The 24,931-nt window shown below is 34.0% G+C and overlaps 1 protein-coding gene across 17 annotated transcripts in view; it reads left to right on the top strand.

The window, feature by feature from the left end:
- CENPE (centromere protein E) overlaps nt 1-24,931 on the top strand; it is a 92,533-nt gene that overhangs the window by 11,862 nt on the left and 55,740 nt on the right. For 11 of the 17 annotated variants that reach the window (XM_047449535.1, XM_047449540.1, XM_047449539.1 and 8 more), the window contains exons 9-18: nt 621-672; nt 3,194-3,281; nt 3,591-3,720; nt 5,026-5,145; nt 6,013-6,171; nt 9,436-9,583; nt 10,434-10,522; nt 11,579-11,746; nt 22,929-23,003; nt 23,226-23,345. In XM_047449535.1, coding sequence (XP_047305491.1) covers nt 621-672; nt 3,194-3,281; nt 3,591-3,720; nt 5,026-5,145; nt 6,013-6,171; nt 9,436-9,583; nt 10,434-10,522; nt 11,579-11,746; nt 22,929-23,003; nt 23,226-23,345 — 1,149 coding nt within the window. The remainder of the gene's footprint in view (nt 1-620; nt 673-3,193; nt 3,282-3,590; nt 3,721-5,025; nt 5,146-6,012; nt 6,172-9,435; nt 9,584-10,433; nt 10,523-11,578; nt 11,747-22,928; nt 23,004-23,225; nt 23,346-24,931) is intronic. The other 6 variants (XM_047449534.1, XM_047449541.1, XM_047449533.1 and 3 more) reach the window with 1 other exon arrangement.

Genomic DNA, 24,931 nt, shown 5'->3' with positions numbered 1-24,931 from the left:
TGCATGACTAGCCCAACAAAATAAGTGCTATAAATGTAAGTCGTATCTATAAGTCATGTTTATAAAGATTTCTGGTTATGCAGTTCAAGGAGCAGTTCATCTGAAATCTGGCGGGGAGGAAGGATAAAGTAGGCAAAGCTATGCTGAGGAGATAATCTTTGTGCCTGGTTCTTGAATAAAGAATAAGGACAGAATAGAACATTAGAACTAACTGAATAAAGGAAATAGCAAAAAGCTGGTGCTTGGAGGTGTAGAAGTACATGGGGTGTTTGGGGAATAGTGAGTAGTTCAGCTAGAGGTAAGAATAAGGGATGGATAAATACAAAGTTGGAGCAGTGCAAGTGCCAGCTTATAAAGAATTATATTTGCCATAGTAAGTTTTTGGACCTTGTATAGGAAACAGAACCTATACTGGTGGCATTATGGAAGATATAAAGAAAGGAACAGATAGAGAACAGTTTGACTCAGAGAAAAAAGGGAATGCCTAAACAGTAGCATGGGAGACATGGATACAGATCGAATATTCAGATATACCATGTATTAAAAATGTTCTTTCAGTAGTTTGAATTTTATTATTTCAAATTATCTGCCCTAAGGATTTATTTTTATCTATCTTACAGAATTTGGTTGATCTTGCAGGCAGTGAAAGAGCTGCTCAAACAGGCGCTGCAGGTAATTAAAACTCATGAAATATGTTAGTCTTAATGTCTTCCTATTTTACAGGTTTAAAAAGTACTACCAGGCATTTTTAGAAATTGATAAAGTAATTATATTCATTATTAATAATAATGAATCATTAATTGTGATTTTCTGATAAAAGTTTAACATAGAAATCAGCATCTGTATCTGCTTAATTTTTATTTTAGTCTACAATAGCATCAATTAAAAAATGAAAATTATACAATTGATGGGATTGTACAGCAGGAAAGCCCATGAGAATTCCATAAAAACCATTTAAACTTTCAAAATAAGGAAATTAAGAAAGATAATGTGGTACAAAATTAATATGCAGATATTAATTTTTAAAAGTTAAAATATTAATAAAAACAAGTTAAAATATTTAGTAGACAAAAAGACTCCATTTATAATAACCTAAAAGATGTGATATCTAGGAAGAAACTCAACAAAGATTTGTACAAGACTGATATAAAGAAAACTTTTTTTTTTTTTTTTTTCTAAGGCAGACTCTCACTCTGTCTCCCAGGCTGGAGTGCAGTGGCACGATCTCAGCTCAATGCAACCTCCACCTCCTGGGCTCAAGCAATTCTCATGCCTCAGCCTCCCAAGTAGCTGGGATTACAGACATGCACCATCACGCCCAGCTAATTTTTGTATTTTTAGTAGAGACAGAGTTTCGCCATGTTGGTCAGGCTGGTCTCCAACTCTTGGCCTCAAGTGACCCGCCCACCTCGGCCTCCCAAAGTTCTGGGATTACAAGTGTGAGCCACCACACCCGGCCTAAGAAAACTTGTAAATCAGACTTGAAGGACACAAACAAATACTTGAAAAAATGGAGAAGCATACTTAAATGGAAAAGATTCAAAATCACAAGGATATCAGGCCTCTGTGTTAATTTCTAGATTTAACACAATCCTAATAAGACTATCAAGAGTACATTTTCATGTTTAAATTAGGTAAGATGATTTTAAAATTTGTATGGAAACATAAAAACAGACAAGAGTAGCCAGGAAAATTCCAAAAAGCAGAAAGTGGAATTTAAGATTTTACTATCTTACTATAAGATAGTAAAACATATTATAATGCCATAGTAATTAAAACTGTGTGAATTGTCAGCCCAGTGAAATAGAATAGAAAATCCATCAAGAGTCCCAAATACATACAGAAGTTAGAATACAATAAAGATGGTCCTTCAAATTTGTAAAGAAAAGATAGATTATTCATTAATTGATAGCCATTTGGGAAAAAAAATTAAGTCGGATCCATATATCATACACCAAGGAATGCATTATAAGTAGCTCAAAAATTTCAATATAAAAAAACTAAAAATTGTTGGAAGTCAACTTACAGTGGGAAAACCCTTTTGTAACTGATACAAAGTCCAGATGCCTTAAAAGCTTAAAAGAAACCAACAAAAAACTGGGCAAAGGATATAAATGAATAGTTCATAATGCTTAAATGGTTTAGCTTGCACCTGCACTCTTGCCATTAGAAGAGCTGCTGATCCAAGGAAGATTAGAAGTTTGTTCAACAGACTTGAGCTCATTCTGCAACCTATTGTAGAGCCACTCAACTGAGCCTAGCCTACATCCACCAAACCAGTCCATCCTCAGACCTGTGAACAAAAAATAAATGCTTGTTTTAGCCGGTTGGTTAGGTAGTAATGTTAAAGCAATAGCTAATTAATGCACCTGTGAAATAACATCTGTTCAAAATTATTTTTACAATTTTTTTTGTATAGGCAGTAGACTGAAAACCTACATGTCCTTCAACAGGGGATGGGGTGGGTGAATGAAGTCTGATGCAGCCGTAAAATGGAATTTTATACTTTAAAAAAGAATGAAAAAGATCAGTGTTTACCGATATGGAAATTTTTCCAAGATATGTTGCCAAGTGAGAAAAAGCAAAGTGCAAAATAGTATGTATGGACTGTTACTATTGATATCAGTGAAGAAGGAAGGAAATAAATACATACGAACTTGTATTTTTAAAAATCTCTAAAGAAAAAAACTAATAACAGTGGTTTCCTGGTAGAGGTATAGGAACTGGTTGAATGGGGATAAAAGTGGAAGGGAGCTTTTTCAAAGTGTACTTTTTTTTTAAACTTTTTGAACCGTGTGAGCATATTAACAATTTAAAAATAAGAAATTAGAGGCTAATTTGGTTGTAAGTTCATAGTTGCCTATATTTAGATGTTGGAAAAAAATTGATTTGAACTGAAGAGCTAGAGAAGCTCTTTCAGGAAACAGGTTTTTTTTCCCTGCATTCTTCCCTCCCTCTTCATTTTTTTCTTTTTACTATTTTTCTCAGGTAATAACCTTTCTGATTCACTTGAAGTGGGACCAATAGGGAGAGAGCTCTTTCTACCACTGATATTAAAGATGGGCTCATGTCTAAACCAGAGCATAGACTTTAGCATCTGCCCTCTAATTTCTCTCATTAACTTAGTGATAAATAAGTTTATCATCTAGAAAAGGAGTCAAGTTTAGTTTTCATATTTGTTTAATAAATTCAGGTGTGCGGCTCAAGGAAGGCTGTAATATAAATCGAAGCTTATTTATTTTGGGACAAGTGATCAAGAAACTTAGTGATGGACAAGTTGGGTAAGTTTATCCCGTTGTGCACTTACCTACTGATTCTTATATTTTTCATTAGGTTGAACATTGCAACATTTCGATGACACTCAAATGTACTGATTTCTTCCATATATTCAAAAACTTATACATATGATTATAATCTACTGAATTTACTTTCTGTTTTAAATATTTTTTAGTAGTTTTAATCTGCCTCATATAACTTGTAAACTAATTTTTGAAACTCTGGCTGATTTAAGAGTTCTGCATTAAAAACCAACTACTTTATTATATAAACGTTCTCAATCTTTTTCTCCTGTAAACTTATTCCTTGCTAAGTGGTTTCATAAATTATCGAGATAGCAAGTTAACACGAATTCTCCAGAATTCCTTGGGAGGAAATGCAAAGACACGTATTATCTGCACAATTACTCCAGTATCTTTTGATGAAACACTTACTGCTCTCCAGGTGAGTTTGATTTTTATCTCAGCTTAATATAGGGGAAGATCAGCTTGAAGAAGAAAACATTACCTACTAAAATTAAGCATAGTTTTTTTTAATTAACTCGCCTGTTATAATCGATATGTTGTCTACTAAATAGCATTTCTTAATTTAATTTTGCCAGACTTCGATTATTTGTATCTTACCTTCATAATTTTTGCCACACCCAACACTATTTTACTGAAATTGACTTGATATTTTTAAAATAACTCACTTTTTGTACTTAATTTATTGTAAAAGGAAACTTTAATATTAGTCCTATCAATGGGAAACTATTATTACTTGCCACAAATAGAAGGTAACAAAAAAAATTGTGTGTCTGTCTGTATAACAAAATAATTCTGAAATTCCTGGTAGTTAACTGTTGCCTTCATTTTCTCTGAGCCTAAGGCCTACATTTTCTATTTTAAAAAGGAAAGGAACCAGCCTGACCAACATGGAGAAACCCTGTCTTTACTAAAAATACAAAATTAGCCAGATGTGGTAGCACATGCCTGTAATCCCAGCTACTGGGGAGGCTGAGGCAGGAGAATCACTTGAACCCAGGAGGCAGAGGTTGCGGTGAGCCGAGATCGCGCCATTGCACTCCAGCCTAGGCAACAAGAGCGAAACTATGTCTCAAAACAAAAAACAAAAAAAAAAAAAAGGAAAGGAAAAATGAGAAATATCAGTAGGGTAGCTTTCTCAATGAAGGATTCAATGTTATCTAATGGTCACCTTGGTGTACCCACCTAAAGTTACTTATGGTACTTATACTCTGAGAAACATTGCTTTAAATAGCTGTTGAGCACCAGATCAAGGTACTGTCAGAGGTGCAAAGAGAAACTAGAGTCCCTGGCTTAACAGAATTAATGAATTCTGTGACAAGGCACATAACACTTGTCTTGCAACATAATTGCCTTTGATTAGTAGTTAAGTGGTTAATAACTAGTATAGAGTTTAAAGGAAGGAGAGATATTTTTGGCTAGAAGCAAAACTTCAGAGTAGAGGAGGCGTTAGCACTGGACCTTGAGGGGTAAATGAGATTCCAATAAGCTGATGTTTTTAAGTTCTCTCAATATATCTTTTTTATTCTCCCGAAGACTATCACCCAGGATAAGTTACAGAGCATTGTTATAAGGACATAGAATGTTCCCTTTGTTCAAAAGTATTAAGCCAACTAGAAAGAGTATTGATTTTTTTAATCTTGAATATAAGAAAGCTAAATATTATTAATTAAATTCGAATTTTTTTAAGTGTTGAACACTTAGCACTTTCGTATTTTTTTTCCAGTTTGCCAGTACTGCTAAATATATGAAGAATACTCCTTATGTTAATGAGGTATCAACTGATGAAGCTCTCCTGAAAAGGTATAGAAAAGAAATAATGGATCTTAAAAAACAATTAGAGGAGGTATGTATGAATCATTTATTTCATTAAATTGAAAGAACCAATTTAGAATGGAGACCTGCCCAAATGCTCAGAGACTCTTCATTCCTGAATATCTGAGTTGCTACAACTTAGGTTTTTAATCACTTTTAAAGAAGAAGAAATCCACTCATAAAAATTTTAGTTTAATTTACTATAAATTGTAAGATTTGGTTCTTGAAATTATTTTAGATTTTGTTTTTTATTTTCAACGGGCAAAATCTGAGATTATCAAATGGGCCAAGTAGAGACATTTCTTAAAATTTTTCACAAATACATATGAATTCGATTAAAAAGAGAAACTACAGAGTTACTTAGAACCACCTTCTGTGTTTTCATGTTATCCTGAATTCCTCTTCTAACCCTTAGATAGCAATCTAATAATATAGCATAATTACTTATCATTTTAGTTTGTTTTAACCATCATGGTCCCATATTTTGTAAAAAATCACGCATTAAGGATCTTTTTTAAAATGAGCTAAAATATCAAATGGTAATCTTATGAGAACATCTCTATCTTTACTATCAGAATTCAAGTCTTTGTTTTATGACTTCTGACTATTCATATCTTCTTAGGCAATTAATAGAGTTATATTAACAGCATTGGTGTCTTATACATGGTATATAGAATAGTTACATGAGAAGAAATGTGTATTTTATTGTAAGTCTGAGAAATTATTGATTATGGTAACTGCATTTTGGTGTTCTACAGTTAGAGTATATTTTATTTCAGTGAAATTAAAATTCTTATAGTTCATATACAAATTTAATATTTTATTCTTTTATGCTACTTTAAGGTTTTAAAACTTAGCCACATTTATTATTAACATAATCCAATATTGCATTCTATAGGTTTCTTTAGAGACGCGGGCTCAGGCAATGGAAAAAGACCAATTGGCCCAACTTTTGGAAGAAAAAGATTTGCTTCAGAAAGTACAGAATGAGAAAATTGAAAACTTAACACGGATGCTGGTGACCTCTTCTTCCCTCACGTTGCAACAGGAATTAAAGGTAAAATTAAAAGATGACAGCTTAAACTTGATGTACAGAGAATAGAATTGGTATTTCTATATGTTTATTATATAGTATGCACTTTCTATCCTTTGATACAGTATATTCAAGAAACCCAGAAGATTTTGTGTTTCATAGTACCTAAGAGATTCATTAAAAATGCCAATTTCTGATTCCTATTTGTAGAGATTCTAATTCAACAAGTTTGGAATGTATTTAAATAATTTATTTGCAATATTCTGCTTAATAAATTCTAGAGAAACTGGGTGATTGGAAGCCATAGGTTTCTAGAATATGTGGAAATATTATTTTCTACTTAAACAGAAATATTAATCTCAGGAAAATTGGTGTAGAATATAAAACAACATAATTGTGTCAATGTAGACTCTGGTGAAAGAAAAACAACATAGTGAACAAAATTCTTACTTTGTTGGTGTGATTTTTTGTTTGTTTTTAATTGAGTAGGAATTTATTTATTCAGTAGACTTTTTGGGGTGTGAGGGTGTCATGGATAAGAGAATGACCTCTGGAGCTAGACTTCCTGGATTTGAATCTGTCATTTCCTGACTCTTGGCCTTGGACAATTTCTTGAATTCACTTTGCTGCTTTTTCCTGTGGAAGTAGCAGTGTGGAATAGCTTGATACTCACCTCATAAGTGTTGTGTGAGAATTAAATGAGATAATAGGTAGAATTAGCTCAACACAGCACTTTCCACACAGCATATTCTCAACTAATGTACATTGTTAATGTGAATAAGCATTATGTACAGAGGTATATAGAAGACAATCAAGAACTATTGGTTGAGTGGTGAGCAGGAAGTAGCCCAATGAAAGACCTAGAGAAGAATGTTTCAAAAGAGACCTACATGTACAAAAGCTTGGAGTTGTGAAGAAACATTATGCATTCCTTGCACTTAAGATGTTCTAGTAGCAGGGGCGTTTTAAACCTCCTTGAGGGATTTGAATGTGATGTTTTGCTAACAACAAAGAACAGCCTTGTGTGTGACATCAGAATTATAGTTGAGAAAGATGTAGCTACTGTGCACATCAGATTGCTTGGGCCTGCAAAGATTGTGGCTCTGGAGTTGGAGTGAATTGGATAAATTGGAGAAATGTTTGGAAGGTAAACTTAGCAGGACTTTGTGATTGTTTGGATGTTGAGGGCAGAGAAAGGGAGAAGGAGGTGTCCGGAATGACTTGCAAGCAATTCCTTGGCTTCATGGGTAGCTGGTAACAATATTGGTTGAGTTAAGGCACACTGAATAAAGAGCAGTGGAAATGGTGGGTGTTTTATTTGGGATTTCTTTTGTTTGAGATGTCAGGCTGTTGAAAATGCAAATGTGTGAATATGAGGTAGAAGATTTGAGATATAAATATCAATTTGGGCATTAACTACTACAGATCCAAATTAAAGTTTGTTCTGGTTGCATGTTGAGAGAAGGCAACAGGAGGCAAAGTGACAGAAGGCAAAACTCCAATTGGGTAAGGCAGAGAAAGAAGAATCCATAAAGCAGCCCAGGTTTAGCTGTACAGTTAAGAATAAAACCTAGTGAATATGGTAGCTAAGGGGAGAGAATATTTCAGGGAGGTAGTGGTCAGCAGTGTCATATTCTGCTGAGAAGTTAAATAAGATAAAGATGGACAAAAATTATTTGCATTTAGAAACACAGAGCTCATTTGCAAAAGTAATTTAAGTGATGGGGATGAAAGCCACCTTATAGTGTGTTGAGGTGGCCTAGATGGATGGAATCTTGAATATAGTAGAAAGAATTGGACTAACATAGGAGAAATACCTCTTGAATTGGAGCAAACATGGAGGAAAGGATAGGCTTCTGTGCAGGTAGTACTCTTAGGAGTTTAGGTTTATACTTTCTTTGTGAAATAGGTTTAATTCTTCTGCTGAGATGGCAGGTGATGGTAGAGTCATAAGTTTGCAGAGATACTAAGGGTTTGAAATAGGCTAGCCTTTGTAGGTAATGAAAAAGAAAGCTGACAAGGGGGAAGGGAATATTGCCATGCAACATTAAAGGTCCAGTTTATCTTGTCAGCCGGTCTTCTGGCTGTGTGGCTCTGGCAGTGCTCAGGAGGCTGATAAAGGTCTTGAACACAGTGCCATTTGAGTGTGCCGTGTAGGGTACATGTAAGGGACAGAGAGTGGGTCAAATAATTTGAGAACATTGACCTCAAATTTCAAACATGATTACAGTGATCTATGGAATCTAAGATGATAGGGTGAGAACCAAGAGGGAGATGGCAAAAAAAAAAAAAAAAGTCATGCAACAAGGGAACAGAGCTAAATAGCCCCTGATGAGCTAAATAGCTATAGTGGGATTAACTAAATTAATGATTTGGAAGGACAGCAACGGCAATGAGAGCAAGAGGTCTAGTTTATGACTTTCAGATAATGACAAGGTCCAGGTGTGGCTTTGGTAGCAACTGGCATTAAACTGAAGGTTATTGGAGTCGAGGATTTGAATATGATGGGGCTTTTGCAGAGCAGGGTGTGGAAAGGGCTGGCCATTTCAAGCAGAAGGACAGCACTCAGAGAGGCATGACAGTATGCAGTATATTCTGTGGACAACAAGTAATCTTAAGAGGCAATGTGACGGAATGGTTGCATGGATAGGCTCTGAAGTAATAGACAATGGGCTCAGCCACCAATTGGCTATACAACCTTATGCAACTTCTCCAAACTTGTTGGGCACCCAACTCATCTGTTAAAAAGATGTAGTAAGGTTGATACTCGATACAAGTATCATCTCATCTTATTTGATTCTCTCAACAACCTTAGGGTTGTGTATTTCAGATGTGATTACAACCCTAGGGTTGCCGAGAGAGTCAAATAAGATGAGATGATACTTGCACCCAGTAAAGAGTCAAGAGAAGAATGGTGGCTATGAAACCTGGAGAAACACACTTAAGAGGCAGGCACAGGAAGAGAAACTAGCAAAGCAGAGTGAGTGGTAAGGACAGCAGCTGGGTAAGGTAAGAACCAGGAGATGGGTCCCTGAAGTGTTGAGGAAGGAGTGGATAAATGATGAGGAGGACAAAGTAGGAAAAAAAGAAAATGGTAGTTAGAGTGAAGTAAAGAGTCAAGAGTTTGATTTTTTTTTTAAGCAATATCCTTAGACTAATAAAATTTTAAACTAGGCTTAATAAGAATTCTACCAAGTCAATGGTTTTCAAAAATAGAAACTAGTTCCCTTGTTTTATTATGTTTGAATACAGATCTATATGACATAATTTTGATTTCTTCTTCTTTAGGCTAAAAGAAAACGAAGAGTTACTTGGTGCCTTGGCAAAATTAACAAAATGAAGAACTCAAACTATGCAGATCAATTTAATATACCAACAAATATAACAACAAAAACACATAAGCTTTCTATAAATTTATTACGAGAAATTGATGAATGTGAGTGCTTTTTTCAAGTGGAACTATGTTTAATTATAAAAGCATCCTTATAAAGAGAAACTATGTTTATAGCTCAGTTAATGTGATAAACATGTTTAAATACTGTGTATTTCATATGTGATTACAATGGAGACTATGATTTAAAATAAGTAATTCTAAAAATACAAAAAAACTAGCTGTGCGTGGTTGCAGGCGCCTGTAATCCCGGCTACTTGGGAGGCTGAGGCAGGAGAATCGCTTGAACCTGGGAGGCGGAGCTTGCAGTGAGCCAAGACCCGTTGCACTCCAGCCTGGGTGACAAGAGTGAAACTCTGTCTCAAACAAATATAAATAAATAAATAAATAGAAAGTAATCATAAGTTCTTTATTCTGAATCTCCTAAGAATGATGCACTAGTTGAAACACACATGAGACAGGTGTTTTTATTTTCTAATTATTATTCAATTAAATTGTTAGTTATATGGCATCTGCCTTTGCTAATCTTAAAAGAGTGGCATTGACATAGGAATCTGTTTCAAAATTATTTCTTCAATAGTACAGTCTGTTGGGGGGGAATTTTAAATCTACTTATAATGATCAAATCTCAAATTCAGAATTTGTCCTTTTAACCTATATTTCATTAAGGATCCTGTATTGTGTCACTAATTCCAACCAGTGATCATCTTAATTCATACAATAACATAAATGACCATATCTATTAATGTACTTTTGGTATTCATACTCTGAGCACATAGTAGTTAATTTGAAGTTCTTAGTATCTCTGATAAGAATTTTTTTAGTAATCTTTAATTTGACTTAGGAAATTTGGTAAACATGTTCATGGACAAATTTTTTTTTTCTCTAATTATAGCTGTCTGTTCAGAGTCTGATGTTTTCAGTAACACTCTTGATACATTAAGTGAGATAGAATGGAATCCAGCAACAAAGCTACTAAATCAGGTAACTTAATGTATTTTACAGCATATAATGCTTTTACTCTTTTTAAAATTCTTTTGTTATTAGGTTTTGTTACTTGTTCTCATTTAATTTCAGTAATGATTTTGGCTCTAATGAAGGCTTTTCTCTTTACATTTCTACTCTATAACCATCAGGCACCTAGAGGAAGGCTAAAAATTTCATAAGGCAGACATGTGCTAGTAGGTAAACCTTTGCCTCTAGCTCTTTACTAGCAGATCTTAGTATTCACAATGTTTGTAAAGTTTCTGTTTTGCCTTGGTAAACTTCATTAGGGTAACAAGACTGATTTTAAAAGTGTCAATTCTCAGGCATTTATAATGTATAGAATAATATATCAGGGAGAGGTAATTTTGGTGAATACATCAGTAAGTTTAGATTCCGTGTTTACTTTGTAGATTGCTCGTGTTTAAAGATGTATAGTTGTATAAAGTAATAGACATTTTCATTTGAATTTTAGAATATAATTGCATTACTACTTATTATTGTTAGTTAATTCCTATAAAGTATTATTGATAAAGTGTTTTTTTGTTCCTAATACATACATTAGAAGTTTCTTGGGTTTTTTTTACAATCTCTGGTGTAAAAAAGTATTTTTTTAACTCATGGTTTATCTCTTCTCTTATAATAATATAGAAAATAGAAATAGGCCTCTTTATAGTAAAACACAGTTGTCATTAGCTTTAGAAGTCAATAAATAATATCTCTGTTTCCATTCTTGAATTCAGAACCATCTGAGACATAAAATAAGAGTTAGTTAGATTGGGGAATTCAATTATCAGTTTTATTACTGAGGAGCTTGAGGACTTATGGTCAAAATTCCCTGTCAGGCACAGGCAAACATACACTTTATTGATATATTTTTAAAATTCTCCTTCTTTCAAAATAATCTATTCTAAGTTAGCTAGTTTGCCAAAATGTAGAACTTTAGAAAGATATCAAATCAAAGTTAAAGTAGTTATTTAAATAATTCAAATTTTATTAAGGAAACAAAAAATATTTGAATTTTCTGATTGGAAAATCTGTTCTTGTTTATAATAGGAGAATATAGAAAGTGAGTTGAACTCACTTCGTGCTGACTATGATAATCTGGTATTAGACTATGAACAACTACGAACAGAAAAAGAAGAAATGGAATTGAAATTAAAAGAAAAGAATGATTTGGATGAATTTGAGGCTCTAGAAAGAAAAACTAAAAAAGATCAAGAGGTAAGAGAGACAGAAATGTAAAACTAAACTAAAAGCATACTTTTAAAAGAAGTATTCTCTTTTTTCTATAATGTAAGCTTTTTTAATTTTTTTTAAATGTACAGATAACATTTTATGTGTTTATTGTATACAACATGATGTATGATGTTTTGAAGTATATATACATTGTGGAATGGTTAAATCTAGCTAACAAATGTACTACCTCACATAGTTATTGTTTTTGTGGTGATAGCACATAGTATCCACAAATTTTATGTTTTTTAAGAATACAATAAATTGTCATTAACTATAGTCACCTTGCTGTACAATAGAGCTGTTGAAATTTATTCCTGCTATCTAACTGTCATTATGTCATCTGACCAAGATTTCCCCATTTTCTTCTCCCTGAAAAACACCCCAGCCTCCAATAACCACCATTATACTTTGTACTTCTAAGAGATCAGCTTTTTAAGATTCTGCATGTGAGTGAGATCATGCAGTATTTGTCTTTCTGTTCCTGGTTTATAATGTCCTTTGGGTTCATCCATATTGTTGCAAATGGTAGGATTTCTTTTTTTTTTTTTAAATAGCTGAAGAATATTCCATTGTGACTTTATACCAAATTTTCTTTATCCATTCTTCTGTTGGTAGACTCTTAGGTTGGTTCCATATCTTGGCTGTTGTGGAAAGTGCTGCAGTAAATATGGGAATGCAGATATTTCTTGAACATACTCATTTAAGTTCCTTTGGGTACATGCCCAGTAGTAGGACTGCTGGATCTTATGGTAGTTCTATTTTTGCTTTGTTGAGGAACCGTCATACTGTTTTCTATATATTCCTACCAACAGTATAAAAGGATTCTCTTTTGTCCACATCCTTGCCAACAAGTTCTCTTCTGCCTTCTTGATAAGCCATTCTAATTGGGATGAGGCAATACCTCACTGTGGTTTTGATTTGCATTTCCTTGATTATTAGTAATATTGAACATATTATGTGTATGTCTTCTTTTGAGAAACGTCTGTTCAGGTCTTCTGCCTATATTTTAATTGGGTTGTTTGGGGGTTTTTTTGCTATTGAGTTGTTTTAGTTTCTTATATATTTTGGATATTAACCATGTGTCAGATGTATATTTTGCAAATATTTCTGCAAATATTGCAAATATTTTGCAAATATTTCTGCAAATATTGCAAATATTTTGCAAATATTGTCTCTTTATTGATGATTTCCTTTGCCTTTAGTTGTAATTCCGTTTATTTGTTTTTGGTCTTTTTGGTTGTGCTTTTAAGGTCTTATTCAAAAATTCCTTGTCCTGACCAATGTTATGAAGCATTTCCACTATCTTGTTTTCTAGTAGTTTCATAGTTTCAAGTCTTAGAATTTAAGTCCTTAACTCATTCTGAATTGATTCTTGTATATGATGAGAGACAGGAGATCTAGTTTTTCTTCAACATATAGATATTCATTCAGTTTTCCCAGCACCACTATTGAAGAAAGACTATCCTTTCCCCAACATATGTTCTTGGCACTTTTGTCAAAAATCAGTTGACTGTATATGCATGGATTTATTTCCGCGTTCTCTGTTCTATTGGCCTGTTGTCTGTTTCTATGCCAGTAGCATGTTATTTTGGTTACTATAGTTTTGTAATATATTTTGGAGGCAGATGGTATGATGCCTCCAGATTTGCTCTTTTTGCTCAAGATTGCTTTGGCTATACAGGGTCTTTTGGGGTTCCATACGAATGTGAGGATTGTTTTTAATCTACTTTTGTGAAGAATGTCTTTGGTGTTTTGATAGATATCGCATTACATCTGTGGATCACTTTGGGCAATATGGACATTATAACAATATTCTTCCAATCCATGAACATGCATATCTTCCCATTTGTGTCTTCTTCAAATTCTTTCATTAACGTTTTATAGTTTTCATTTGAGAGATCTGACACCTCCTTGGATAGTTTGCCATTAACATATAGAGATACTACTTTTTTTTATGTTGATTTTGTATCCTGCAACTTTACTGAGTTTTTTATTAGTTGTAACAGTTTTGGATGGAGTCCTTAGGGTTTTCTGTATATAGGATCATATCATCTACAAATAGAGACAATTTAACTTCCTCCTTTCCTATTATGTTTTATTTTTCTCTTTTGCCTAATAGCTCTAGCTAGAACTTCCTGTACTATGTTGAATAAAAGTGGCAAAAGGGAACATCCTTATCCTGTTCTAGATCTTAGAGTAAAAGGCTTTCAGCTTTTCCCCATTTGGTATTACATTAGCAGTGGGTTTGTTGTATGTGGCCTTTATTGTGTTGAGGCATATCACTTCTATACCTAATTAAGAGTTTTTATCATGAAGAGGTATTGAACTCTGTCATGATTTTTCTGCATCTGTTGAAGTGATTGTATGACTTTTTTTCATTGTTTTGTTAATGCGGTATGTCATGTTTATTGATTTGTTTATGATGAACCATTCTTATATTCCTGGGATAAATCCCACTTGTTCATGGTGAATTATCTTTTAAATGTGCTGTTAAATTCAGTTTTATAGTATTTTGTTCAGGGTTTTTCTGTCTGTTCTTCAGGGATATTGGCCTATAGTTTTCCTTTTTTGTCTATTTTTGGTATCAGTGTAATGCTGGCCTTGTAGAATAAGTTAGGAAAAATTCCTTCCTCTTCAATTTTTTGGAATACTTTGAGAAGAATTGCTATTAGTTCTTCTGTAACTGTTGGTAGAATTCAGCAGTGATGCCATCAGGTCCTGGGCCTTTCTTTGATAGGAGACTTTTTATTACTGATTCAAGTCTCCTTTCTCATTACTGGCCTGTTCAGGTTTTCTATTTATTCATAATTCAGTCCTGGTAGGTAATGTGGTAGAGGAATTCATTTCTTCTAGGTTTTTCAATTTATTGGCATATAATTGTTCTTTGTATTTCTGTGGTATCAATTGTAATGTCTCCTTTTTTATTTCTGATTTTATTTATTTGAGTCGACTGTCTTTTTTACCTAGTCTAGCTAAAGGTTTGTTGATTTTGTTTCTTTCAAAAAAAAAAAACTCTTTATTTTGTGGATTTTTTTAAAGTCCCTATTTTGTTTATTTCTGCTCTGATCTTTATTCTTTCCATTTGCTAATTTGGGGTTTAGTTTGTTCTTGTTTTTCTAATTCTTCGAGGTAATAGTTTAGGTAGTTTGATTTCTTTCCTCTTTTTTGATGTAGATGTTTATTACTATAAACTTCTCTTTTAGAACTGCTTTTGCTGCATCCTATACATTTTGGTATATTGTGTTTCCATTTTCATTTGTCTTAGCTTTTTAAAATTACTCTTTTAATTCATTAACCCAGTGGTTGTTCAGGAGCGTGTTTAATTTTTATGTATTTGTAATATTTCCAGAATTTCTGCTATTATTAATTTCTAGTTTTATGTCATTGTGGTCAGAAAAGATACTTGATATAATTTTGATTTTAAATTTTTTAAGACTGTTTTTGTGGCCTAATATGATCTGTCTTAGAGAATGTTCCATGTGCAGTTGATAAGAATGTGTTTTCTGCAGCTGTTGAATGGAATGTTCTGTAAACATCTGTTAGGTCTCTTTGGTCTAGACTGCAGTTTAAATCTGCTATTTCTTTGTTGATTTTCTGTCTGAATAATCTGTCCATTGCTGAAAGTGTAGTTTCAAAATCCTCTATTATTATTGTGTTGCAGTCTCTCTTCCTTCAGATTAATATTTGCTTTATATATATTCTGCCATGTTCAGTGTGCATATATATTTACAATTGTTACAACCTCTTGCTGAGTTGACCCCTTTATCATTATGTAATGACCTTGTCTCTTTTCACAGTTTTTGATGTAAAGTCTATTTTAGCTGATATAAGTATAGCTTCTCCTGCTCTCTTACAATTTCAGTTTGCATGGAATATCTTTTTCCACCCCTTCCTTTCCATCTATTTGTATCCTTACAGGTGAAGTTAATCTCTTTCAGGCAGCATATATTTGGATTTTTTAATCCATTCAACCACTCTATCTTATAATTGGAGAATCAGTCCATTTACATTGATAGGTAGGAACTACTGATAGGTAGGAAATTACTACTTCCATTTTGCTAATTATTTTCTTATTTGTTTTTTAGGTCCTTTTATCTTATCTCACTGTCTTCCTTATTGGATAAATTATTTTCTCTGATAGTATGTTTTGATACCTTTCTATTTTTAGTGTATTTATTATAGGTTTTTTTCCTTCGTGGTTACCATCAGGCTTACAAGAAAAAGTCTTACAGTTATGCAGGTTATTTTAAACTGATAACAGATTATCATTGATTACTAAACAAACAAACAAACTCCACACTTTATCTCCTCCCACTTTCTGAATATTTGATTTTCTAACTTTTGATGTTACAACTGTTTTCCTTCAGTACTTTTACTATATCATTGCACTCCCTCCTGGCCTGTGAGATTCCTCTTTGTTGTTGTTGTTGTTGTTTAATTATACTTTAAGTTCTGGGGTACATGTGCATAACATACAGATTTGTTACATAGGTATACATGTGCCATGTTGGTGTGCTGCACCCATTAACTCGTCATTTAACATTAGGTATTTCTCCTAATGCCATCCCTCCCCTAGGCCCCCAATCCCCAACAGGCCCCAGTGTGTGATGTTCCCCTCCCTGTGTCCATGAGTTCTCATTGTTCAACTCCCACTTATAAGTGAGAACATGTGGTGTTTGGTTTTCTGTTCTTGTGTTAGTTTGCTGAGAATGATGGTTTCTAGCTTCATCCATGTCCCTGCAAAGGACATGAACTCATCCTTTTTTATGGCTGCGTAGTATTCCATGGTGTATATGTGCCACATTTCCTTTATCCAGTCTATCATTGAGGGGCATTTGGGTTGGTTCCAAGTCTTTGCTGTTGTAAACAATGCTGCAATAAGTATACGTGTGCATGTGTCTTTATAGTAGAATGATTTATAATCCTTTGGGTATATACTCAGTAATGGGCTTGCTGAGTCAAATGTTATTTCTAGTTCTAGATCCTTGAGGAATTGCCACACTGTCTTCCACAATGTTGAACTAATTTACACTCCTACCAACAGTGTAAAAGCATTCCTATTTCTCCACATCCTCTCCAGCATCTGTTTCCTGACTTTTTAATGATCCTGGCCTGTGAGATTTCTGCTTAGAAGTCTACTGCTAACCATAATGGAACTCCCTTCTATGTTATTTGCCTCTTTACTCTTGCTGCTTTGCTGCTTTTAGGATTTTCTCCTTGTCTTTGACTTTTGAGTTTGAATATAATATATCTTAGGGCAGGGTCATTTAGATTGAATTTGATTGGTAACCTTTGACCTTCCTATATGTGGATATGTATTGCTTTCTTCAGGTTTGGGAATTTTCTGCTATTATTTCTTTAAATAAGCTTTCTGTCCCTTTATTTTTCTCTACTTGAACTGCAGTGACCCAAATATTTGCTTTTTTGATGTTGTCCCATAAACTTCATTCCTTTTCATCCTTTTTTTTTTTTGCCTCCTGACTCTATATTTTAAAATAGCCTGTCTCAAGCTCACAAATTCTTCTGCATGATCCATTCTTCTATTGATGTTCTTTGTTGCATTTTTCATTTTGTTCATTGTATTTTCTTGCTCTAGGATTTCTGTTTGGTTTTTTTATTATTTCAGTCTCCTTGATAAATTTCTGGATTGTTTCTCTATGTTTTCTTGAGGTTTGCTGAGCTCGCTTAAAATAGCTATTTTGAATTCTTTGGCAGATAATACATCTCCATCTTTTAGGATCAGTCACCAGTATCTTACTTTGTGCTTTTGGTGACATCATGTTTCCCTGATCATGATGCTTGTGGTCATGCAGCAGTGTCTGCACATTGAAGATGAATGTAGCTATTTGTTTTAGTCTTCACCATCTTTATAAGGTCTTTTCAAGATCTATAGTATGACTGAGGTCACCATGTTATCCTGCAGAGGCACTACTGGACACCTTTCTCTTTAGGTCCCCAGGTGGGCAGAGCTGTTCTTATTCCACAGATGAGAGGGGTCAGTATCAAGATCCAGGGCCATTTGAGAATCTGCTGATGGACAAGGGTTGCAAAACCTGCCACAGGGACTTGGATACGCCTGTCTCCCGGTAGGACCCCGGCTGGGTAAAACCATTCTCAGACTATCGCTAGGAGAAACTGAAACCAAGCTTCAGAGTTAATTCAGAATGTGCTATGGAACCAATGTTGGTAAGCTTAACCTGGTGGCACCAGCAGTCAAGACTCCCAGCAGTTCCTTATGCAGGGAGGATTGCTTGCATTCTGTAGCTGTGACATTCAAGGTTCTTTCCAGAACTGCTATGTGATGGAAGCCAGCAGGCCTGTCCTACACAGGCAGGATAACTGCCAGGCTGCAGTAGAGAGGGGCTGCAGTCAAGACAAGACTGCTTTAGGATCTATTATGGGAAAGATGCATGAAACCTGTCCTGGTGGCTGGGGCAGGTGCTTCACCCAGCAGTTCCCAATACAGTCGAGATAGCTTCCTGACTGCAGCAAAGAGGCATTGAAGCTGAGACAGGGCCCCTTCAGTCTATTGTGGGATGGAGGACTGCAAGCCTGACCCAGTGGCTCAGACAGGTTCATCTCTTGGCAGTTCTCTGTGTGGGTGAGAGCAGGGAGGCTGCAGCAGGGGAGGGCTGGAGCCAGTACATGTCCCCGTCGGAATCTGCTATGAGACAGAGGCCGGCAAGCCTGTCCTGGTGGCTCAGATGGGCATGTTCCCTTCTGGGTCCTTGTGCAAGCAGTACTAAGCTAGGACTACAGCTTGAGGAGGGCAGGAGCCAAGTTATAGGCTAACTTTTGGGTCCACTGCCAAGACCAATGTCGACAGGCAGAAGAGCCCATCTGCCGAGACCCTAGAGTGTGTGATTTCTCCTGGACCCCTTGACAGATAGTTTTGGTTGCAGACTCTAGGCCAAACAGGGCTGTAGCTAAGTCCTTCAAGGAATGGGACCATTTCTGCATATGAACCTGGGAGCACAATTGGCAGGACTCCCACCTGGGTGTTGGTATGCACTCTCAAAAACAACACTTCCAGGTCTTGAGTTCTACTGGGGTTTTACAACCTCCTACCTGAATCCAAAGGCTCCCACAAAAAGACTTGTCTGTAATAGGTACAGAATTCTTGTTGTTTTGGGGGGATGTGAGCAGGTGACCTCCTATTCTGTCATCTTCTTGACATCACTCAGAAGTATTGTCTTAAAGATTTTTTTTTCTAAGATTGAGATGTTGAAGATCTAACCATTTTTCATATGTATATACAATTTAGAAAATTTAAGAAATATTTTCTTCATTTATATTTTAAAAATAGTTAAATCATGTTTCTTTCCCTGGTGCTTATGCAAGAGAAAAAGGAATTAAAAGCATCTATGGGAAGGGTTGGTGTATCTACCTCTTGATGGATTTGTCTTGAAATTGTTTCCTTATAGTTTGTATATTACATTTTATTGAGCATATATAAATGCTACCTAGAGCACAGCAGTTTCCTACTGAGATCAGTATGAATTTTAATATCTAGATGACTATTTTATATATGGATGCTACATATTAATGGATTTCTTTTTCTTTAGAAAGTATGTTTCTAAATAATTAAAACATTAGAATAGCTGGAGAAGCTAATTTTGTACGTTTTGTTTTTCCTTCTCCATCTAAGAGAGTTATGTGAAAATTAGTATAACTAATACTAAATAGTTATAATGGAATTTATAGAAACAGATCACTCATTTTCTAAGTATAAAATATTAGGCTACACGTTAAGAGAACTTAATCCAGAAACCATCAGACTTTAGGGACTCAGAAATTGTCCAAAAGATTAAAGGGAGTTATTAGTGTAAAGTGTCCTTAACCTAGAGGCCACAGATGCTGTGAAATTATTTTGCAGAATTTTTCAATGCATATTCATTTTTCTGGAACAAGAATCTGTAGTTGTTATCAGACTTGCAAAGTGATTCGTGAACATCCCCCCTTCAAAAAAAAATAAGACCCAGTGTTTTATGTAGTTAAAAGATGAATTAATTTGCAGCTACTCTTCAGACTTCTATGTGGCTAGCCCAAAAGGCCATGACCCTTTTTCCTCGATATCATTGTTCAGTTTCTCAACCTCTTTTCATTTTTAAAGGAAAAAAGAATTCTATGCCAAAGCTATTATTTCCATTCTACCTACAAATTAAAATTATTGCTTTATTTCATAGGTACTATATTCAAAGAGGTAAAAGTCTATAAGTTCTCCACAGGGTTTCATTTAGCTTGTTTTAAAATGCATGTTAATGAAGTGCAAAATGTCATGCATGACAAAACCATTGGACTTTAATCAATAAAACTAGGTTTTATGGAAGGGACTGGCCTAGTGTCATGATTAAGAACATGGTCTCTAGAGTGAAATTGCCTGGATTTAAGCCGCAGTTTTGCCACTTATAAACTTACCGCAGATCCAATCCTATTATGAATTGTTGCCAAGGCCTTGGGCAAGTCACTGAATCTCAGGGCTTCCTGTATTTCTCCACCCTTGAAGTAGAGACCAGATGCTCACCAAGGTCCCTTCTGACTTTAAAATTTCATCTAATTTTTGTATGTTTTTTATATGTGATAATAACATGACATAAAACTAACGTTTGGGATAAGTGGTAATAATTTCTCTAATATTTTTCTCACATCATTAATATATTAATAAGAAAAATTGAAGCTTATTGAATTGAGTCAACACAGAGAAAGATTACAAAAATACCACAGAATATATGACATGTATCACACTGCAGTTTTTCTCCCATTTTAACCACAGTTGAGGAGGAAGAATCCTACTCCGTTCTTTTTAAATTTCTTTTTCTTTTTTTTCTTTTTTTTTTTTTTAAAACACAAAGCTCAGCTTTCTAATCTAAAAGACATATAATTAAAAAACTTTTTCTTTATAGAGACGGGGGTCTTGCCATGTTGGCCAGGCTAGTCTCACATTCCTGGGCTCAAGTGATCTGCTCGCCTCGGCCTCCCAAAGTGCTAGGATTACAGGTGTGAGCCACTGCTCTAGGCCCTTTACTTTTAATTCGACACAAAATTTAAGGTTACTTAAAAGATTATGTAATAAAAACATCCTGTTCAAAACCAGTTTTGCAGTATCTAGTCCATGTTAAACTAAAAATATAAGTCTATGTGTATGTAGCAAAATATGTTCCAAAACCTACATTTTGGGGAAAGGTTTAGCTAAAAGGGAATAAAAGTCAAATTGGCCTTAGGACATGGAGCCATTTCCCTGGTTTTCCTAAAGCTTTTGTCAAAAATCACCCAAGTTGTAGATAATTTTCTAGTGGGAATATAGTAACATGAGATGCTTAAATAGTATGTTTTAGAGGGAGAATGGAAAATGTCAAGTATCACCATACTCGAGGAATGAGAAAAATCTTTACCGTCTACCTATTTTAACTTGGTGTATTTAATTTTATAATTTTTACTACTTGGAGATGTAAGTTAAATATTTCATTTCACCTAATGACAATTACCATTTAAATCTGCAATTTAAATGGTAGCAATGGATTAACTGTAGATCAGATCATATGTTTAAATCATTTTTCCTTTTCACACACTTTCACTTCATGCTCTGCATCTTAAACATGTCATTGGGAGATTACACTTTTATTTTTATAAAAGCTAATTATTTTCTATGCATAAGAACCAGTACTAAGATAAAGTGCTATTTCAAATAAGAAGTAGGAAAATTTTCTTTTCTAAATTAGTATTCTTTAAATGTTTTCATTATCTATGGCCATACTACCCTGAATGCACCCGATCTCTTCTAAGTATTTTTAAAAGTTAAGATTGATTTTTGATTCTTTCTTATTGGTAAATGTGATTTTCTTTCACAGAAGTTAAAAATAAGGAAGAAAAGGTGAAAGAAGGAGCCAATTTAAATTAAAAGCAGTACAAATGTCTAAGACTGTGTTCTACAGTGGGGTAGCCACTAACCATATGTGGCAATTAAGCACTTGAAATGGGACCAGACTGAATTGACATAGTATATAAAAAAGAATGTAAAATTGTTCATTTTTTTTATATTGATTACCTAAAGAAACATGTTGGATAGATTACCTGAAGAAACATTTTGGAAGAAATATTTTTGATATATTAGGTTGAATAAAATATGTTCTCAAAGTTAATTCTGCCTTTTTCTTTTTAGGTTTAATGTGCCTACTAGGAAATTTTAAATTACATATGTGTCTGACATTATGTTTCTCTTGGATAGCACTGACCTAAAATAGTAATGTCAACACTTGCACTAGTCTGAAATTTAAAACTAGTCAGGACTCAGTTAAACATCCAGAAAATATTTAAATAAGATACTATTTTCAAGCCCCTTACATACTATTAGAATTTGCTTTTACTCTGTAAGTGCTCATCTGATTATGAAGATTAAATAATTCTAAGGGAAAATGTTTATCTTGGTTATGTGTGGTTTACTTGTTTTCAACAAACTTTTTGGTACTCAGATATTTAATGCTACAGATATTTTGGTAGAAAGGACACCTCAATAGAAATACTTCTACCTTTATACTTTTACATGGTTGAACAATATAATGGAGTGCAATATTTCCTCTGGAATAAATCAAGGTCATAGTTGATCATTCCATACCTGTGTAGCACTGGTGAAAAGTAATAATATTGTAAAGGCACTGCATGAAACAACCCTAATCCAAACCTAGATTCCAAATCAGAACTTATTAAAAAGTACACTAATGTAGAGCTGATGGATACTTTATGGGAAGAAAAAACTTTATAAGAATTAATACATTTCTGTACTTAACTGACTGAAAACAAAAATCTACTAAACGTGTATTTTTCAAGGTTTGATTACCACTTTTTAAATCTCTCCTCCAAGTAGTGCATACTAATTTGCTATTGACATTATTGTAGCTTTATTAACAGATGATATAGCTACTTGGTGGGGTCATGCTGAGGGGTTTTTTTTTATTTGTTTGATATGTTTTGGGTGATATTTCTAGTATTTTTAAATAATGAGGTGCTTTGTTGCGATAGCTTGAACAATTGATCTCAGTCCTTTCTAACTGTTGGGTGATTCTGAAGCAGTGAACCAGTGCCCTTTTTTTTCTTTTTCTTTTTTTTTTTTTTTTTGCTTTGCTTTATTAACTATTGGTTTGCTCTGTTACCTGTTCACATGCTCTTACAGATGCAACTAATTCATGAAATTTCGAACTTAAAGAATTTAGTTAAGCATGCAGAAGTATATAATCAAGATCTTGAGGTGAGCATTCATGTTGGTATTTCTATTGATAAGCAATTAGAACTATAAAACATGCAACATATGTAACTGAACATGATGTCAGAAATAAGGGAATTATGTTTTTAAAATATTAGTGACTTTGAATTTTACTATGAATTTAAACTAATATATATAAGTTCTGTTTTAATCCCTTAGACTTCAAATCAGATTCTAAATTGTTACTCTCTCCTTTGATTCTTTTAGAATGAACTCAGTTCAAAAGTAGAGCTGCTTAGAGAAAAGGAAGACCAGATTAAGAAGCTACAGGAATACATAGACTCTCAAAAGCTAGAAAATATAAAAATGGACTTGTCATACTCATTGGTAAAAATCAGGCGTATTTTGTTGTGTAATCACATAAATATATATAGCATACCATCATCTTAGCAAATGCTTATACTGGACCTACTTTGTGCTGTGTATTGTTGTAATAAATTTATATATATTTCATTAAATCTGTCAATAACCCTATGAGATAGGGACTGTTAGTATATTTGCCATTTTAGAGATAAAGTCACATTTGTGGAAAGTTGATCATGTCATCCTTTGAGTAAATATAAGGAAGTTAAGGACAGGCTCCCATTAAAAATCAGTAAGTTTTAGGCCAGGGCACAGTGGCTCATCCCTGTGATGCCAGTACTTTGGGAGGCCGAAGTGGGAGATCACTTGAGCCCAGGAGTTCAAGACCAGCCTGGGCAACATAGTGAGACCTGGTCTGTACAAAATATACAAAAATAAGCCTGGCAGGTACTGCCAGCTACTTGGGTAACTGAGGTGGCAGGATTGCTTGAGCCTGGGAGGTTGAGGCTGCCATGAGCCGAGATCATGCCATTGCACTCCAGCCTGGGCAACAGAGCAAGACTCTGTCTCCAAAAAAAAAAAAAAATCAGTAAAATTTTAAAATTCCGAATTTTTTTCAGTAGTTTTATACAAATGCATGCAGTAGTATATAGTCAAGATCTTAAATATTAAACTGGGATATTTTTTCACAATTTTATAGCTCTAGATGATTTTAGTTGATATAAGATCTTGGCATTAACTAACATTGAATCTGATGATGATGTCATTTAATCGCTTCAGTTTGCTTTCAGTATACCTGATTACTTATATATGTTTGGTTCCAGTTTTTAATACTTTTTTTTTTATGATAACAGTTTCTAGCTGGAACTTTTAAAAGACTAGTTTCTGTTCTTCTGTTTTCAGTTGAGTTTTTTAGTTTTTGTTACCTTCTATTCTTTTGTTGCCTTTTATTTGTGACAAATGATTCTTTTCAAAGGGGTTCATACCATTTCATATCATCCTATTCTGAGGCCCTGGATAGGAAGGCACTTTTATGTATTCTGGAGTGTCTGTTCATAGCGTGGCAAGCAGAACTGCCCACTTTTTAAAAATTACTATTTCTTTTTCCTTATTCATTCATGTATTAATTTATTAATTTTTTTCCAAGGACATATCATTGATTTCATATAAGCTAAAGTCATATTAAAATGCCACTTCTCTTTAGAAATGAGGTTGTAGATTTTTTTCATGTATTTTTCATTTGCATTTTCTCATCTGTAAGTTTCTTGTTCATATCATTTCTCTATTTTTCTATTAGATCATTTGTCTTTTTCCTTTTCAATTTGTGGGTTAATATCTTTAATTTAACTGTTAGCCACTTACCTATCATGTGCTGAAGAGAATAACTCAAAATAAAAATACATAGAAAACTTCATCAGCCTTGCCGAACAACAGTTGTTTTAACCTTTAAACAAAACAGATCTAAATTATGATACATTGCTTATATAATTTGATATATTGCTTATATAATTTGAAAAATATGACCAGAATTTTTAAAAATTATTTTTATTAGGAAAACATTATTTCTTTTTATATATTTGGTAACTAGCATATTTGTACGCTTTTTGATT

This window comes from Homo sapiens, chromosome 4, assembly GCF_000001405.40.
Source record: "Homo sapiens chromosome 4, GRCh38.p14 Primary Assembly".
Classification (NCBI taxonomy): Eukaryota; Metazoa; Chordata; class Mammalia; order Primates; family Hominidae; genus Homo; species Homo sapiens.
The sequence above is the reverse complement of the archived record's forward strand: the minus strand, read 5'-3'. Positions and strand labels throughout refer to the sequence as shown.